Source organism: Homo sapiens, chromosome 5 (assembly GCF_000001405.40).
Source record: "Homo sapiens chromosome 5, GRCh38.p14 Primary Assembly".
In the NCBI taxonomy this organism is placed as follows: domain Eukaryota; kingdom Metazoa; phylum Chordata; class Mammalia; order Primates; family Hominidae; genus Homo; species Homo sapiens.
In genome coordinates, this window is record NC_000005.10 from 70,658,658 (window position 1) to 70,677,731 (window position 19,074).

General features: G+C 35.7%; 1 long non-coding RNA gene across 5 annotated transcripts in view; it reads right to left on the reverse strand.

Moving 5' to 3' along the window:
• LOC107986355 (uncharacterized) overlaps nt 1-19,074 on the reverse strand; it is a 102,717-nt gene that overhangs the window by 41,848 nt on the left and 41,795 nt on the right. For 3 of the 5 annotated variants that reach the window (XR_001742420.3, XR_001742423.2, XR_001742424.2), the window contains exon 4: nt 33-126. The exons of the other annotated variants lie outside the window; for them this stretch is intronic. This is a non-coding gene — a long non-coding RNA (uncharacterized LOC107986355). The remainder of the gene's footprint in view (nt 1-32; nt 127-19,074) is intronic. 5 annotated transcript variants of the gene reach the window in all.

The following is a 19,074-nucleotide window of genomic DNA, read 5'->3' on the forward strand; positions in this document are numbered from 1 at the left end:
AGAGCTTCGAAACTAGAATAAGGGTCACTTACTCTGATGTCTCTGGAAGCTCATGAGGTCAGCCCTGAACGCTAAGTTGCACTTCTTGAAACAGTTTTAATGCCCACGGCTATCTCCCAATTCATTCTGAGTTTGAGAAGGGAAAAAAATGAAATGATATTTAGTAGACTCCTATAACAGTTTGGGTAACACCAGCTGTTTTAACAAACAATCCTCAAAGTTAAAGTGGCTGAAAGTTTAAAATGTGTTTCTCATTAATAACATTCAAATAAAGGCATTTCTTGTCTGGGTGGCTTTTACCAGGGAGTAATTCAGGAAACTGGCCTCCAGTATTGTAGCTCCAACTTCCTAGAGGGCTTCAGAGTTCTCCTTTTTCAAATGACACATGTTGAAAGAACTGGAAGAAACATTTATATGTACCACCCTCTAAAAGTGGTACACATTAACCGGGACACAGTTGCATGGAAATATAGCCAAGCTATGTATCCAGAAAGAAGAAAAAACAAGTGTGGTAAAGAGCTATCAGTCTATGCCTCAGCTTTTCAAAATCCAGTCTTACGGCGCACAGATCTAGAGAGAATATGTAGACCTTATATTATGTAAAGGCATTCACAGAACTATTTTTGTTGTTGTTAACATACTTGAGCTTCCCTACGGCAATGTTCTTGTAGGTTTCCCAGACTAATAGCCTTCAAAATGGAGGTGAATATATACATATAAGAAAAAAATAAGTAACTTAAGTCTTCTAATAAGATATGTTTTATAAAAATATGAAGAAGATATAGTAACAGCTCCTTATAGCAGTGTAAGACCTTTCTTTCATCCATCTCCTCACCTATGGTTACTATCCTCACAATCCCATTTCCCTCTATGTACATTTTACTTTATAACATATGTTCTCATACACAAAAAATACAATAAAAAATTTTCCATTATCCAACAGAATTTATAAAGCCTACAAAATTTCTAAATATATCATTTTATATGTAATGAATATGCTTGTTATTTCCCATTAAAAAAAAATGCAGCGGCCGGGTGTGGTGGCTTATGCCTGTAATCTCAACACTTTGGGAGGCCGAAGTGGGTGGATTGCTTGAGCTCAGGAGTTTGGGACCCACCTGGCCAATGTGGCAAAAATCTGTCTCTACTAAAAACCCAAAAATTAGCCAGGAGTGGTGGTGGGCACCTGTAGTCCCAGCTACTCATGAGGCTGAGGTGGGAGGATTGCTTGAGCTCAGAAAGCGGAGTTTGCAGTGAGCCATGGTTTTATCACTGCAGTCCAGCTTGGCGACCACTTGTTCTTTTTTGCTTGTTTCTTTGTCTTTTGCTTTACTTTGCATCATAGAGATACGGGTGAAAATTTCTTTAACCCTTTAAGTGTTTCTACTTTGTCTCATATGCTATACCTCATTTGTTACTTGGAGTATACTCTTGGCCATGCTATTAGAAATGGATGATGTAAAAATGGCGCCCCCTGAAGTCAAGCAATGTGAAACATTTGTAAATTTCTACAACAAATGCCCTAAATTGTAGTCGCTTAATTAAAATAATTATTTTCTATTTACTGTAATAGTCAACAGGTAAGAAATGCAGTCTTGCATGGATGTCCCACTAAAAAATATATGCCATCTTTTAGTCCGTTGATACTTAGCATATTGCCCTCATCTTCATGGACAAAAATTGGCAATTTTTCTGTAAAATCTCTCTTTCATATTACTGATGACAAAATTCTGCACTTTATCTGAGGAAGAAAATGACAAGACTGACATGTGGGACTCACTTCTCACTGTATAATACCATCCTTGGCTCCTGCCCCAGGATAATTTTGATATTTTTAATTATCAAACCAAAACCAATAAGTTATATAAAATATAGGCAAAGTTACATTCACTGGGAGAATTTTAGCACTCTCAAAGTAACATATCAGTTCCTATTATCCAGTAAATTCCTACCACGTCCCATGCTCCCGGAAGTGTGTCCGGATTCATGTTTTTCTGATAGGTGAATGCAAAGTCACTAGCCATTGCCATTTGCCAGGGATTCAGAGAGACAGAAGTGTGGAAATTAACATTTAGATGTATGAGAAATATATGCAAGAAACTGAGACTGAGCAGGCAATTTGTAGATTGTATACAGTGTAGCCTAAACATGTTTGCTTCAGTGAATTTGTCATTTCTTGCATGGGGTAAGTCTAAAATTATTTATTGTTTAATTTTTTTCATTAGAAATAAACCCTCTTGGAAGTAATTAAAATGCATATTTCACAAAAAATTAGTGCGATGATGATGACAATCATGTAACTTGCAAAACTTGAGTGTTGTTTTATCACAAACCTTATGAAAACAGATGCATCCTTGCCTTAAAAAGGAGAAGGAAAAAGGAAATGCTCTGGGCACAGCATGAAGCCCAGAAAAAGAATATTTCCAACAGCCCCATGGACATATGGAGAGGATAGAACTTAACAGTGCTCATCATCTCTGGTCATCAGAGAAATGCAAATCAAAACTACAATGAGATAGCATCTCACACCAGTTAGAATGGCGATCATTAAAAAGTCAGGAAACAACAGGTGCTGGAGAGGATGTGGAGAAAGAGGAACACTTTTACACTGTTGGTGGGAGTGTAAACTAGTTCAACCATTGTGGAAGACAGTGTGACGATTCCTCAAGGATCTAGAACTAGAAATACCATTTGACCCAGCCATCCCATTACTGGGTATATACCCAAAGGATTATAAATCATGCTACTATAAAGACACATGCACATATATGTTTATTGAGGCACTATTCACAATAGCAAAGACTTGGAACCAACCCAAATGTCCATCAACGATAGCCTGGATTAAGAAAATCTGGCACATATATACCACGGAATACTATGCAGCCATAAAAAAGGATGAGCTCATGTCCTTTGTAGTGACTTGGATGAAGCTGGAAACCAGCATTCTCAGCAAAATATCACAAGGACAGAAAACCAAACACCGCATGTTCTCACTCACAGGTGGGAATTGAACAATGAGAACACTTGGACACAGGGCGGGGAACATCACACACAGGGGCCTGTCGTAGGGTGGAGGGATGGGGGAGGGATAGCATTAGAGGAAATACCTAATGTAAATGATGAGTTAATGGGTGCAGCAAACCAACACGGCACATATATACATATGTAACAAACCTGCACGTTATGCACATGTACTCTAGAACTTGAAGTGTAAAAACAATAATAATAAAAAACTTCCAGCCCAAACAAAAATAGTATTAGCTACATTCAGAAGACCCCACAGAAAGGGTATAGTTTCCCACAGACACCCTACTAGAAAGCAGCTTCGTGGACAACATTCACCTCACCGTTTCCCAAAGATCATCATCATCACATCCTCTGCCTTAGAACCTATAACAGCGTCATTCATGGGGATGCCTCTCGCCCCTTAAAAAGTACTGAGAAAATTATGAGACAGAGAAGAAAGGGGGAGGGGATACAATTAAACTTTGTTTACAGAAGCCTGGGCTCCTGACTTTGATTTTGCTACTAAAGTAGCCGTGGGGAAATATTTCTTGAAACAATAAAAATGATTGACTTAGGTTTCAAAGTTTTTAACTCACAATAAAGAATTTTTTCTCCTTTCTCTTGCACTGTTTTTCATAATGATGGTATAAAACATATTAAGGTGTTATCACAAACAATTACTTCATGAGATTATATTTGAGTTTGGGGATTTCAAAGTCATTTTATTAAAATTAGCTGTATTGTTACACATTTTGTCTGGAAAGTCTAAGTAATGTCATTAAAAGCCCAGTTTAATTGCTTTGAAAAAGCTTATGCTTGACATGATATTCAGTCTCTTAGATTTCACAATTCATTCTCCATGTATTACTACTATGACTGACTTGTTTGTCTCTTTTTGAGTTCCTTCTAGAATTCAAAAGCATTAAGATTTAAGTGTGGCTGACTGCCACGGTTACTACTTGAGACCGTCATTACTAGACTGAATGAAGAGACGAACATAGAAATGGTAACAAAAAACAAAAGAAACTGTTTTAAGGAAAGGCTAGCATGGGGAAGAAGAGAGCTCCCTGCTTCTAGTGGTCCTCATTCCATCTTTGCATTCAGATTCAACTGGTTCATGGTTCATACCGGGGGAACAAGGTCCATGGTTGGGATCCATGGGTCCCTCCAGTCTCCTGTTCAACGGTCGTACACACCTTGGGAGCACCCACTCGGTTTGTTCATCTTCTGCAAAGACGTAAGTATACCCTCGTCCCCACGTTAGTAAATCTACCAAACAGAATCAAAAGTGTTTTCTTTTTTATTTATTTTTTATTTTTTTTGCTGTAGCCGGGAGGCACGCCATTGCTGAAACATTTGTAACTCAGCTTCTGCCTCTTTGGTTAATTGCCGTGGGGTAAAACTTTCCACTGAGAACAAGAAGCAGGCTCTTTCTGATTAACACACGGCACAGAGAAAGCAAATCGAGGCTTATCCTTCTCGTAAAACAGTATAGCAAAAAGCAGTCCTTAAACCTTCAATTTGCACTGTACAGGTGGGTCCACTAGATGCTATGGGTGGTGATAGATAAATCTCTCTCCTAGTTGCACTTCCAAATCCCTGACCACCTCGCTTCTTCTTATGTGGAGAAGGGTACAATTTACAGGGAAGAAGCGAAAATTGAGCAACATATTCTCCCAGTTCAAAAACCCAAAGATCTTGTGACATTACCACTACCTGAATTTCTCCTTCACAATCAAAATCAACAACTCCTGGGCCTGTAAGTTAAGACAGCTTTTACCAAAATCAATCCCATGTATCTTGTTGGCAAAGATCCCCAAATACCAATGTGAATCTTAGTGAGTTTGTTTCTTTCATTTAATGTAATTGGTTCTCTGGGAGATCTAATCCTGCGTTTCCAGGTGTTCCTGGGGAGAGGGAATCCATGTGCCTCTGGAAACCCACCCCTGAAACGGAGTTGTGGCCTGGACAGGGAACGCCCTCATAGTTTGAGGTGCCCGGGTCCAGGCCCCCTTCTTGCTTCCCAACAGGGGGGTGCCGTTTTGATGAAATTTTGAGTGGTGTTGATTAGCCCAATGATTTCCTTTATTGCATCGAGGGCAAAGTCCGGCATTTTTTTTCTGTTAAGAGGGGGACTATGTTACAAGATCTCTTGTTCACAGAGGTCTGACGGCATTCTCTTTTGAAACGTCCAAGTTTTCTACACTTATGACACTTTCCCACTTTAGGGCTTGACCCTTGGCTTCTTTTAGATCTGTCAGCCACCAAATTTGCTATTGCCTGAGTCAATACTGCAGAGCAATGAAGCTCAGTTCCCACATCTTGACAAGCTCTGAGAAAGCCTCCCAAGTCCTCTGCACATCTCACAGGTGCCAGTGCACGTTTACAATCCATGAAAGCCAAAGCTAAAGTTAGCCTTTCTGTAGCCACCAAAGAAGACGATACAAGGCAATTTTCATTCTCCCTCTTCTGTTCACCATTTTCGATAGGCACTGTAGGTGGGGCAAAAAATTCTAAATAACAAAAAGATGGTACATACCAAAACTCCAAACAAACAAAAAAGAGAAAAGAAATAGCCAAATTCTTCCTCGTTTCCCTGTTTTAAAAACTTCCCATTCTTTGTACCTCTAGGGCACTGACCAGTACCTTTTTAGAGAACTAACCTTATGTCGCTGCCAACAGAGTTGTAATGGGCTTTCTCGTTCATCTAGTTGGTTTTAGTTTTTTTCTGTTCCAGCAGACCTTCCTCGCTCTAGTCCTATAGGACCCTATCTGTCCCTATCTGTCCCTGTCTGTTCCTCCAAATCTCTCCTAGTCTTTGCTAGTCTCTACTTTTGTACCTCTTTAGGACACAGACCAGTACCTCTTCAGGGCACTGACCTTATATTGCTAGTCTTTATCTATTCCTATCTGTCTCTGTCTGTCCCTATGGTACCTGTTAGTTCCTGCAAGTCCCCGTCTTTCCCTACCTATCTCTACTTTTCTCTACTTACTTATCTCTACTTACTTTTCTGTACTTACCTCCACTTATCTCTGTTTATCCCTGCAGGCCTCTTCAGGTCCCTCCAGGTCCTTTCAGGTCTCTGTATGTCCCTGATAGTCTCTGAAATGTCCCTGTTCAGGCACCATTTGTAGTTGACTGTCACTGCTACTACATGAGACCATCACAAGTATGTTGAATTGAGCCTGGAACTCCTAGATGATAAACATTTTTTTATACCAACCTTCAACTTTTTCATTAAAATTAGATTGGGTAGATACTATAAATAGTGTCCCAAGCACTAGTGGAAAGATTCTACCATGTCTTACACTGGTTACTATGAGTTTGGAGTCAGAGGTATAAGGCTTGAAGAAAAAAGCACAATGAAATACAATTTTATCCACCAATCTGACATTTTTAAGTTTTAGGAAAATTGTGTCTTAATTCAAGCTGCTATAACAACAACAAAAACAACATACACTGACTGGTTTAAACAATAGAAATTTACTTCTCGGAGTTCTGGAGGCTGAGAGTCCAAGATAAAGGTGCCAGTCAATGGTTACAGGTAAAACCTCCATTCCTTGTCATGTCCTCATAAAGAGACAGAGAGAGAGACCAGACAGAGAGAGAGAGAGAGAGAGAGAGAGAGAGAAAGAGAGAGAGAGACTCATGACCTAATTATTTCCCAAAGGCCCTGTTTCCAAATATCATCTCAGTGGAATTAGGGTTTTAACATACAAATTTTGGGGGCGACGCAAGTATTTTTAGTCCATACCAAGTTAGATGCAACTTTACCAAAATTATTGTGGGTAATTTGACAAGGTAAGAGAGGTCAGTGAAACGCAAATTATATGATAACTTCTTGGTGCTCAGGCAGTATACCTGCCAGGTTGTCTCCTGGCTAGAGGAATGAAACAAGTAGTATTCAACAAGACTTTGGTAGTGAGTAAAACATGGCATATAAGTTGTTTTTTGTGGGAATGACATAGTCTAAATATTATTTTGATGACATACCTGTGTATTGACCTCTCTTGCATCAAAATGACATAAACATGGAGAAATAATTCTGAAAGTCAGCAGGAACTTGCAACTCACTTCTGGGAGGGGACCACTTAGGGGAACTATGATATTAGACTGTGGCAATGTCGACCTCCACACAGGAGGAAAGAGTAGTCACATACCCTAAATCTTGCGTAACGTGGTGTCTTAAAATTTCAATAAATCTACTGAGTTAAATTAACAGCAAAGCAGAAAAATTTGCCAAAGCTATTTATAGCTCCATTAAAATGGAAGACAAGTTAAGAAAATGTGTGTTCTAAATAATCATGTCAGAAGTTAGTGTTTCCTTCAAATATAATCATAGGCCTAAGAATTTTTATCCAAGATTGATGAAATTTTATTTTACGCAACAATAAATGGAACACAAAGGCTGCACATCATTTTTTTGTCTTCTGTACATATCACTAAAAAAAAAAAGCATCAAACTAAAACAATGAATATAATATTAAATAGGGATTTGTTAATTGCTAATATTTTTAATATAGAGAAAGAATAATGTTTAATGATTAATTACAAAATTGATGAACTAGAATAGTGAGAAATCAAGGAGAGCTGAAATTTATGGAACTTTATGATAAACTAATAAAGGACAATTTTATTCCTAGCATTTTAATTATTTGCTTTATTATTGCATTTTAAATGCAATTATCAAAAATAAAGGTTATAACTAAGAATTTCAAAAATTCTAATTATAGCAGAATTGGTAACAAAGAATTGAATACAGAGGGTGAATCTTATATTGCTTTATTATTATTAAAACTAAGGAAATATTTAGAATTTTGTGTACTAATTTAGCTACGAAGGAAAAGGAGGGCGTCATCATTTTAAAAATGTTTCCACATTGTCTACAGAAGCCTAGATTATTAAAAAAAAGAGTGGCCTCAGATAGATATCTGATTGGAATACACTACAAAATCTAGTAGTCAACTTGTTAAGATATCTGAAGATTCCATTTAAGACAGATTGTGAAAAAATATACTGGAAGAAATAGATTTTATTTAATATCCTTAAACATAAAACTTTGTTACCTTCTAAAACACTATATTTAGTTTTATTTCTATTTTATAATATTGTATATGATGTGCTTTCTTTTCCAGGTAAAACTAACAAAAGACAATAAAATGTTATTAACTTGAGTTATGGTTAAAGTAGAAGAGCTGTGGATATTACACTACATGAAAAAAAATTCTTCCACAGATATTATTTGTGTATGCATACATCGATAGAGATACACATAGATAGATACAGATACAGATAGATATCGATATAGATATAGACTTGGCTATAGAGACTGTGGGTTTTTTAATACAGCAAGAAAAGAGAAATATTTATTTACACTGGATCAACAAAGGAACTAGGCTATTAACTCAGATTGTAATAGTCTAAAATTTTTCCAAAAATTAGGAAAAATAAAATATTTATATGAATTTTACCTGGAAGTGTTTCAAAATAGTTTGCAAAGAGTGAGAATGAATTTCAACTTGTGAGTAAAGGGTAAAACTGAAATGAAAGTTAAAACAAATAGTTTCCCCCTTTCATTATTAGATCATGATTTATTGAAAACAATCTTGATTGTTAAATATTGATTAAAATTAATGAAGGTGCAGAGTTCCTAAGACCTTGTCATTTGAACGTTATGAATATCTTCACAATGAAAACATTATTCGTGTTATTTATGTGAGCTTATATGTACTTTTCCGCATAAATAATTTGTACTCTTAGTTAGAAACAAATGAACTATGGCTTTTGGTTTGGTTTTGTTTATTTATGAATAAACATTAAGAACTGTGCTTATGAAATTTTCAGGAAATATACTGAATGCTTTAATGTACTCTGTAACATTGCAACATATAATTTCCCCTCTTCCCTCACTTTTTGATGTAGCTATCATTGCTTTGAGTTTTTATTTACTGGTTATTTTAAAGAGCTTAATGGTCTCATTTACTTAAAAGTGGAATAATATTGGACTACTATTTTCTTTTTTTAACCTCTCTAGGTCATTCTACAGTCATTACCTTCCAGCCTATTTGTTTCTGCAGAATCTACGTATGTAATACCTATAAATTTTCTTTTCATATTTGTTCACTCATCCACATCATTAATAAAGTTATTAAGTGAAGACGAACCCAGCAGTAGCACTCCCTTACCACCTTGAAATATTGTGCTGATGTAGAGGTTGTATCTGATTTAATTCTTCAAGGATTATTAATGTATGTGGAACTAGCTTTTCAGCCATGGAAATCTTTAGTACGTATTTAAGAAAAAGTGATTTAATGCTCAGTAGGGAAATGTTGTCCAAAACAGTGCCTGAAAAAAGCAGGTATGTGTCCACATTGGGCACACTGCAGGTGGGGTATATTGTTGAGATAGGAAGGAAAAATAAAATGTGAGAAAAGGCAAGAGACAGAAAACAAAGTGCAGGTCGGGAAGAGACAACTTTAACTTCCACCATTTGTTAATCAATTCTGAAATATTTTCATTTTTACAGCCTAAAATTATGCATGTGTTGGCATTTTTTTAAATGGATGATATTACAGTTTTCATTCAAGCATTGGTATAGAGCCTAACCTTTTGTTATGGATGAGATGTTTAGATTGTTAATCTGGAAAATCTATTTTCCTGTTATTGAAGTCACATATATACATATATGTATATATACTTTTATATATGTGTCTATATATAGTAAAAATGTGTATATTTATTTTAAAAAGTATTTTGGTTCATGTTTTTGTTCTTAATGTTGTCCTACTAAAATTACTTAATCATAAATCTTTCTACTAACAGTAAGGCAGAAACAGAGTAACAAGGGATTTTTTTTTTCTATTAAACTGAAGACAGAGAAGTTTGGTATTTATTTTTACCTAATATAGCAAACTTCAAAAAACAATCTATTTCAATAAAAATATTTTCCCCAGCTACAGAAATAAACAAGGGATAATATATAATCTAAAAATGTAATGGAAGAAAAGGCACAGCATTAAGAGATTGCCTTATTTTCCTTTCTAGCACATCTTGCTCTTAAAATATCCATGAGTCTATAAAGGGTGCTATTTACAAGGATCAGTTTCCCTGTATTTCTGGGTTGAATGATCCTCTACTTTTACTATCCTTTGCTAAACATGACAAAATAAGAAAATAAAAGATAAATATGAGATGAAGACCTCAAATGACATCAATTTCATTGCCTCTAAAAAGTTGTGATGATGAATGTTACCACTACTCAACTGAGTTTATGAAAAGGCAAATATACTTTTAAAAATGTAGGGGTGCTTATACAAAGACTTATGTGTTTACGTTTACTTTTTTTATAAAGCTGATTTAATCAAAAGATTTAGTTAAGGCCGGGCGCGGTGGCTCACGCCTGTAATCCCAGCACTTTGGGAGGCCGAGGCGGGCGGATCACGAGGTCAGGAGATCGAGACCATCCCGGCTAAAACAGTGAAACCCCGTCTCTACTAAAAATACAAAAAATTAGCCGGGCGTAGTGGCGGGCGCCTGTAGTCCCAGCTACTTGGGAGGCTGAGGCAGGAGAATGGCGTGAACCCGGGAGGCGGAGCTTGCAGTGAGCCGAGATCCCGCCACTGCAGTCCAGCCTGGGCGACAGAGCGAGACTCCGTCTCAAAAAAAAAAAAAAAAAAAAAGATTTAGTTAGTAATTTATTGACTCAAATACTTTATGCCTTCTATTTCACATTTTTTACAGGTTTATAAGTCTAGATACCTATGTCAATTAGTGAATTTTCTACCAAGAGTTCATGTTTTGTTGCTTAAAGGCAGATAATTTTTTTATTTAAATAATATTAAAAAGAGGAAAATATTTCAAAATACCAAGATTGGGAGGTGTCTGGGAGATTTATATGTATTGCTTTTATTAACTGTCTAGCACTGGATTTATAAACCAGCTTATTTTTTTAATTTAAAAGCTCTCTGCCTTGCAATTTAATTCACATGATCTGCATTAACCATGCCATATTCAAAATTTCATTGATAAATTCTATCCAGTAGTCAATATCGAATTGTAAACTGATGTAATGTGCTTTAAAATATGAAGATTTAATCTTTAAAATATGAATATTTGATTGAATAATTACTACCACTAAAATCATGTTTACTTATTAGAATTATCATATAGGAATTGTTTTATAATGTATATGTTAATTGAATGTGATTTCTTGATACTTAGGATATACGTTAAGTATACATAAACAAATTGGAAATAAAGTTCTGATATACTGTTCCATGAAAGTTTCAAATCTTTATATTAAAGATTACCATTTGAGTCAGAGGCAATGATAGGATTTTCTGTACTTTATCCACATGTTTATATATATACATATATATATGTTTTCATATAACCTTTCATAAGGATAGAAAAGAACTATGAATGTTTCTCCATCAGGCATCTTTCAAATACAACATAACAATAACTTCCTTAAGTATTTTATTTAGGCAAAAACTATAAAATGATGGAATGGAAAAAGAATTCTCAATGATCAAACCAAAGCAATTATATTTGATTCTGAATTTTAAAAGATTAGTCCATCAATTTATATTTAGAGGTTAGAAAACACATTCTGAGAGACAGAAAATTATATTACTTTTCTAACTTCCTGGAGAATATTGTGCTTTGTCAAATTTTACATTTATGAGAAGTTTTATATTAAAGCTATAAAATCTATCAGGGTAAGTTAATATGAGTATTTGAAAGTTTCACTGTTAAATTTATATTATCACATATTAAATGAAAGAACTGTTAACTGTGTACTGAATTCAAAAGTTAATATAGCTTCTCTCTTTTTTAAGAAATGGGACACAATATTAAAAAATTAAAGAGTTTTCAAATATTTATACTTAAATTTATATCTAAGGAATTATATATAGAATGCATACCTTTCAAGTAGATACTATTGTTGCTGTTAAGATTATTGTCAACAAAATTTAAATACACAGACTATTAAATAAAGAAATTAAAACAACAAAAAATAACCTCTCGGCCAGGTGTCCTGGTTAACCTGTAATCCCAGCACTTTAGAAGCTTGAGGCAAGAGGATTGCTTGAGACCAATAGTTTGAGACCAGCCTGAGCAGCAAACTGAGACTCTATGTGTATCAAAAAATGTTTTAAAAGTAGCCGGGTACTGAGGCAGGCACTTGTAATCCAAGCTACTTGGGAGGCTGAGGTGGGAGGTATGCTTGGGCCCAGGATTTTGAGGCTGCAGTGAGCTGTGATTGCACCACAGCCCTCCAGCCTGGGAGAGAGAGGAGACCTTGTTTCTAAAAACTAACTAAATAAACAATAATGTAAAAAATCTCTCTTTAGGTGTATGCTTCTCTTTGCCAGTGTTTAAGGGTTAAAAAATCAATATGAGAGATTAACTAAAGTACCAATTTAGAGTTAAATGAGTGCATTTGCCACTTGAGTGCCGATTGCCTCGCATGACAGACAATATTAAGTGCTGATGACTTTAACTTTCACAAGTTTTATGCGATAGTGGGATAAATTTTTACTTAAAATGTGTTAAACTTCGGTTTAATTGCACTAATTAATGTCTCAATAGATATACTGTTGTATCTACCTCAAAATGCAAACACCAATGAAGTAATTCATCAGAAGACTTGATATGAATAAAGAATGGAACAGTAAAGTTGAAGATAAAAAACATAGAAATTGAATAACAAATACAAGTAAGAAACAAGAAGAGTGATAAATAGCAGAACATGGCATCCAAGAGCTGAAGGACAGCTCTGGATGCCTAACTTGAACGGATTCATGAAAGAGAACAAGGATGATAAATACTTAAAAACAAAATGAATGAGAATTTTCCAAAAGAAGTGAAGGCAATCAAATCGTAAATCCAAGAAACATTTCTAGAGATATAGGGGCTACGTAAACAAACTAAAAAAAAGGTAAAAAATTATATGAAGACAAACATAGTTGTGTTGTATGTATTATATAGTTAAATATACGTTATACACAGGCACGAAGAAAAGAAGTACAGGAAACCTGTCCTCAAGAACTATTTAACTGTATACTGCAAATTTTAACCAGTGTACTAAAGTAAGAAAAATAAACAAAAGGCATACAAATTGGATACGAAGAAATAAAACTCTATTTGATTCGTGGATGGTCTATGCACAGTATTCCATTATGTACAAAATAATTAAAATTATTAGCAGTGAAGCTGCTAGAAATAAATTGTGAGTACAAAATAATTAAAATTATTAAAAGTGAAGCTACTAGAAATAAATTGTGAGTTTTGTAATTTCACACTATGCACTATAACACTATAATGTTAATATACAGAATTATTTTTTATATATAATTGTTGCAGGAAAAACCCAGACCTGTGTAGAAGAACATCCCTCTGCCAAAGAGATAGTGCTGAAATAACAAAGAAGGACTCAGACAAGTCCAGCTTCATGAGAAGACGAGTTTATTAGGACTTACGTAAAGGGCAGCGGGATAACTCCAGAGATCCGCCTGCTGCCCACCATCTTCCTCTAAGCTGCTTTTAAGCTACTTTTCTTTTCTTTTCTTTTCTTTTCTTTTCTTTTCTTTTCTTTTCTTTTCTTTTCTTTTCTTTTCTTTTCTTTTCTTTTCTTTTCTTTTCTTTTTTTTCTTTTCTTCTTTTCTTTTCTTTTCTTTGACGGAGTCTCGCTCTGTCGCCCAGGCTGCAGTGCAGTGGCGGGATCTCGGCTCACTGCAAGCTCCGCCTCCCAGGTTCACGCCATTCTCCTGCCTCAGCCTCCCGAGTAGCTGGGACTATAGGCGCCTTCCACCACGCCCGGCTAATCTTTTGTATTTTTAGTAGAGACGGGGTTTCACCACGTTAGCCAGGATGGTCTTGATTTCCTGACCTCGTGATCCGCCCGCCTTGGCCTCTCAAAGTGCTGGGATTACAGGCATGAGCCACCGCGCCCGGCCAAAGCTACTTTTCTGGCTCTTTGCTTACTACATGTGATGAAACTGTTCTTCTTGGTATGTACCTAGATATGCTCCCGGATGTTTTGGTTTTCAGGGACATCTGCTCCTCGGCTGAGCACCATGAACTTTGCTCACCATCTAGCCTTCAGGACTCAAGCAGTCAACATATGCCCTTAAATTCCCTGGTGGGGGACCCGCTACTTTACAACACTATTAATGAACAATTGGAAATTAGAATTTTTTAAAGTTACATTTAAAGTAGCACAAGAAACATTAAATTCTTAATCTAAAAAAACATGGAGAAAGGGTAACAAAAACTAAAAAAACACTGGTAAAAGAAATCAAAGAAGAAGTAAATAAGTAAAGAGCTTGGTAGCCAATATTGACAATAAATTAATTCTGTTCAAACCAAACAAAAAATTCAATACAAAAATTCAATCCAGTTAAAATTCCTAACAGGATATTTGCAACTAACAAACAAGCTCATTCTAAAACTTTCAACAGAGAAGCAAAGGAATTATAATGGAAAAATCATTTTGACAATAAAAAAATTGAAGAATCCACTGATTTATATGTATACTATATACATATATGTATATATACATATATATATATACATATATTATATATACATACATTATTATACATATATGTAATATACATATGTATATCTGTTGGTGACTTTAACCATATGATTCATAATTTCAAAAACTGGTGAATAGTCAAAAAGTTATATACTGTATCTATTTAATATCACATTAGGAAGAAAAAGAAACAAATCTGATAACATAACAACATGAATGTGTCTCAGATTTATTATGCTATTTTAAAAGCCAGATTTAAAGGCCTATTCAGGATGCTGTTTGCTCCCTTGTGTATGACATTCTAGAAAATATAAAACCATAGGGACAAAGAACAGCGATTTCCAAAGACTGAGGGCAGCAGAAATACTGATTCAAAAGGCACAAAAGGGAATTTTTCTAGGTGATGTTACTGTTCTATATCTTGAGGATGGTATTTGTTATATAACCATCTATGTTTTCAACACACTGCATACTTAAAAAGATGACTTTTGGCATATATAAATTTTAATTCGATAAACCTGAGTTTTTAAAACAAAGATTTTCTGTAACCAGTAGACTCATAACACTGTCTTCCTGCCATTGACTAAGATGGTTTCAATAGTGGATTCCTCTTGTTCATGCCAGCCAATGTGTCTTTTGTTTAACCAAAACCCTTGAAATATCTTTGCCTCAGGCTTTTATTGCAATTTCCTGTAATTTAAAGACTTCACCCTCCTATTCACAGGAGTTAGTATCTTGAAATGGTAATAACTTGAAAACAGCTATGGTGGGAGGACTTACTCTTTGAGTGTAACTTACATACATGCAGCATACACCATGTATCAAAACTTTCTTTTTTTCTGGTTTTTTTTTTTTTTTTTTTGAGATGGCGTCTCACTCTGTTGCCCAGTCTGGAGTGCAGTGGTGTGGTCTCAGCTCGCTGCAACCTCCACCTCCCTGGTTCAAGCGATTCTCCTGCCTCAGCCTCCTGAGTAGCTGTGACTACAGGCACCATGCCACCACGCTGGGCTAATTTGTGTATTTTTTATTAGAGACGGGGTTTCACAATATTGGCCGGGCTGGTCTCGAACTCCTGACCTTGTGATCCACCCGCCTTGGCCTCCCAAAGTGCTGGGATTACAGGCGTGAGCCACCGTGCCCAGCCGACTTTCTTTTCATTTGGATCACTAGTTTACCAACATCACTGCCTTTACTCAACTCTATTAACAATTATTTAACCTAGTTTATCAAGTCACTTGTCAAAATAGAGATTTATATTGTTTATATATGTAATATTTTACAAATCTGTATTTTTGTACTTCACTATCTAATTAAACCTTTGGGGTAACTTTTATGTGTATCCCAAATAGGACAGGACAGTCATTCATTTCTTATAATGTATCAGCTAATTTCAAGGAGACATCGGAATTTTTGTGGAGACATCGGAATCTGAAGAGCAAAGTGATTCAAATTGGGTCACAGATTAAATAATTTTTAAAATGTTTACTTTAAATATCTTAAAAAACTTTAAGGAGAAAATTAATTTTTCTATATTGTTCTTGGCCTTAAAATATACATTAAGCATTAGTTTTCTGGCTTTTGATGTTTTTCATAAAATTAGCTCAAAAAATGCAAAAAGCTTGTATGAATATATAAGGGCCTTTGTAATCATATTGTAATTGCTTGACATAGTTAATTTCTTGATTTCTGACTCTGGCATCTGAGTTTCATAATTGTTATGTAATTACTCTATTTTTTTAAATCATGTTTTTAAATGGAAGTTTCAGTCTCAGATCTTTTCTATTTCATGCAATAAATAATTTTTAGCAGTAAAGAATTATTTGGCAATAAATATTTTTTGAGACGTCATGCTCCAATGATATAATTTAGTCCACTTTCTGCTTGAAAATATGCAAAGAAGAAATCTCTTGTTGGTATTAATTTCAGAAGTCGTCTTTGCACACACAATGATGATCATTCTGTTTTCCTTAGATAATTCATGGTAGTGTAACCCAATAATATAATCTTAGATGTGTAACTTACATACATGCACGTGGCACATGAAGCATGTGGTGTACTGAGATGAAAATAAGCTTGTAAAAGTCATTGGTTACCTAACTGCGGCTTGGTACCTAGCACACCCTACCTGCAACGGTCCCAACAGTTACACTGGCTCTATTTGACTTAGATGATGCAGGGGTGGGTTCAAAATCCCTCTCTTTTTCCTAATTACATACGACTGAGCATCCCTTCCCTTGTCTCAATCTGGGATTTTGAGAGTTTATTATAAGATCCCCAGTGAAAATCCACCCAGGTGGTTCTTCCCTACCCTCTTTAAATGTTCACACCCTAGTGTGAACAAGCTAGAAGTGGATTCTTTGAGGCAGTGACAACAGACCATGTTCAACTTCTACACTCCTTGATGTTTGTGTATTGGAAGAAGGTGTGACAAGATGCCAGGCACCAGAATTTCAGGTTGGTCTTTATGGAATTCTTGAACTCTAGGGCTGCATCCCTCCCTATAATGAGGCAAAGTTGGGGAAGTAGAAAGTTCAATGCAGCCTATGATTTTTACCTCATGGTTTTCTATAACCTAATACATATCACATTGAATTATGTGTTAACTCGTGAGCATTCAAATTAATAGAGCATGCTGTACCAAAATATTGTCATTATTTTGGTTATTATAAATTATATATGGCCATGATCAGTGCTATAGGGCAAGACTATATCATTTTTTACTTCTAGGCTAAAAGGATTATGTTCCTACACATGAATTATGTAACTTTTTAAAAAAAATAGTGATATTTTTCTATTAGAAGTTAAAGCAATTAGTTCTTTACAACATTGGCTACGTACTCAAATCAACTGATTCCTGGGTTTCCCCTCAATCCAAGTAAATTAGGCAGAGAGCAAAACTAAGGAACAGTATTTTCAAAGAGGACCAGGATTGACAATGACTGGTATTCAAATAGCTGTGAATTTGTGCAAATGTAGCAGAAGACAGCAAAGGGTTCTGGATATGCCAATTATTATTTATTTTTATTATACTTTAAGTTCTAGGGTACATGTGCACAATGTGCAGGTTTGTTACATATGTATACATGTGCCATGTTGGTGTGCTGCAGCCATTAACTCGTCATTTACATTAGGCACATCTCCTAATGCTATCCCTGCCCCCTCCTCCCACCCCACGACAGGCTCTGGTGTGTCGTGTTCCCCACCCTGTGTCCAGGTGTTCTCATTGTTCAATTTGCACCTATGAGTGAGGATATGCGGTGTTTGGTTTTCTGTCCTTGCGATAGTTTGCTCAGAATGATGGTTTCCAGCTTCTAGAACTGGAAAAACCATTTGACCCAGCCATCCCATTACTGGATATATACCCAAAGGATTATAAATCATGCTGCTATAAAGACACATGCACACATATGTTTATTGCGGCACTATTCACAATAGCAAAGACTTGGAACCAACCCAAATGTCCATCCATGATAGACTGGATTAAGAAAATGTGGCACATATACACCATGGGAATACTATGCAGACATAAAAATGTATGAGTTCATGTCCGCTGTAGGGACATGGATGAAGCTGGATATGCCAATTATTATTAAAATAATTTTTGGGTTAAGCTGATTTTTACTTTTCTGAAAGAAAGATCCAAACACAATGCCTATAATAAATCTTAGAAATTGTCTGTCTCCATTGGTGAGATTAGTCAGTATAAACACTAACATATATAAATAAAACCAAACAACAGTTACTCTTTTCCATAATGTTATGCTTTTGTGTTCAATGAAATATTTAATTTAATTACTAAATTTCTAGCATTTCTCTGAAGGATAAAACAAATAAGCAAACAAACAAATTAACAAGAAAAACCCAAAATAACTTCAATGAATTAAAACTGTCTGGTGCTACCTTTCCTATAATTATCGTCACCAAATAAAGTGCCTATTGGACAGAGATGGCTGGTTCACTGCAATCTCCATTGACCCTTTCGCCATCAGTAAAAATGTCCTCTAATGCTTAGCCGGACACATGATCACCAGGAATAAATGCTATATTCCCAATCTTTTCTTAACATAGGGCATGACACATGTGACCAATTTCTGACCTATGTTGTGTAAGGGGAAGTAACGCGTGTAACTTCTGAGAAGCTGACTTACATGCAGGGGGCATGTCCTATCTCTGTGCTTTCTTCCTTCTTGGAAAGGCAGCTCTGATGGCTAGATCTGGGGCAGCCATGGGGCAACATGAGAAGCAGCAGTACTTGGAGGTGCAAAGCAACAAGATAATAGCCATCTGGATTTCTGATGATCATGAAGACATCATATCTGAACTGGGGTGTCTGCATATCCCTGAGAGGCAAAAAATGTCTATATTGTTTCCGTGAGTTCTTAGCCTACACTGCACATACGAGTTATCAGAGAACTTTCAAAATTTATCAAATGCCCAGTTCTATTAAGGTATCTGGAAACTTATTCTTGGCCTATAATTTTCCACTGGGTCAACTATAACCCAGGTTTATCTGTCTTCTATA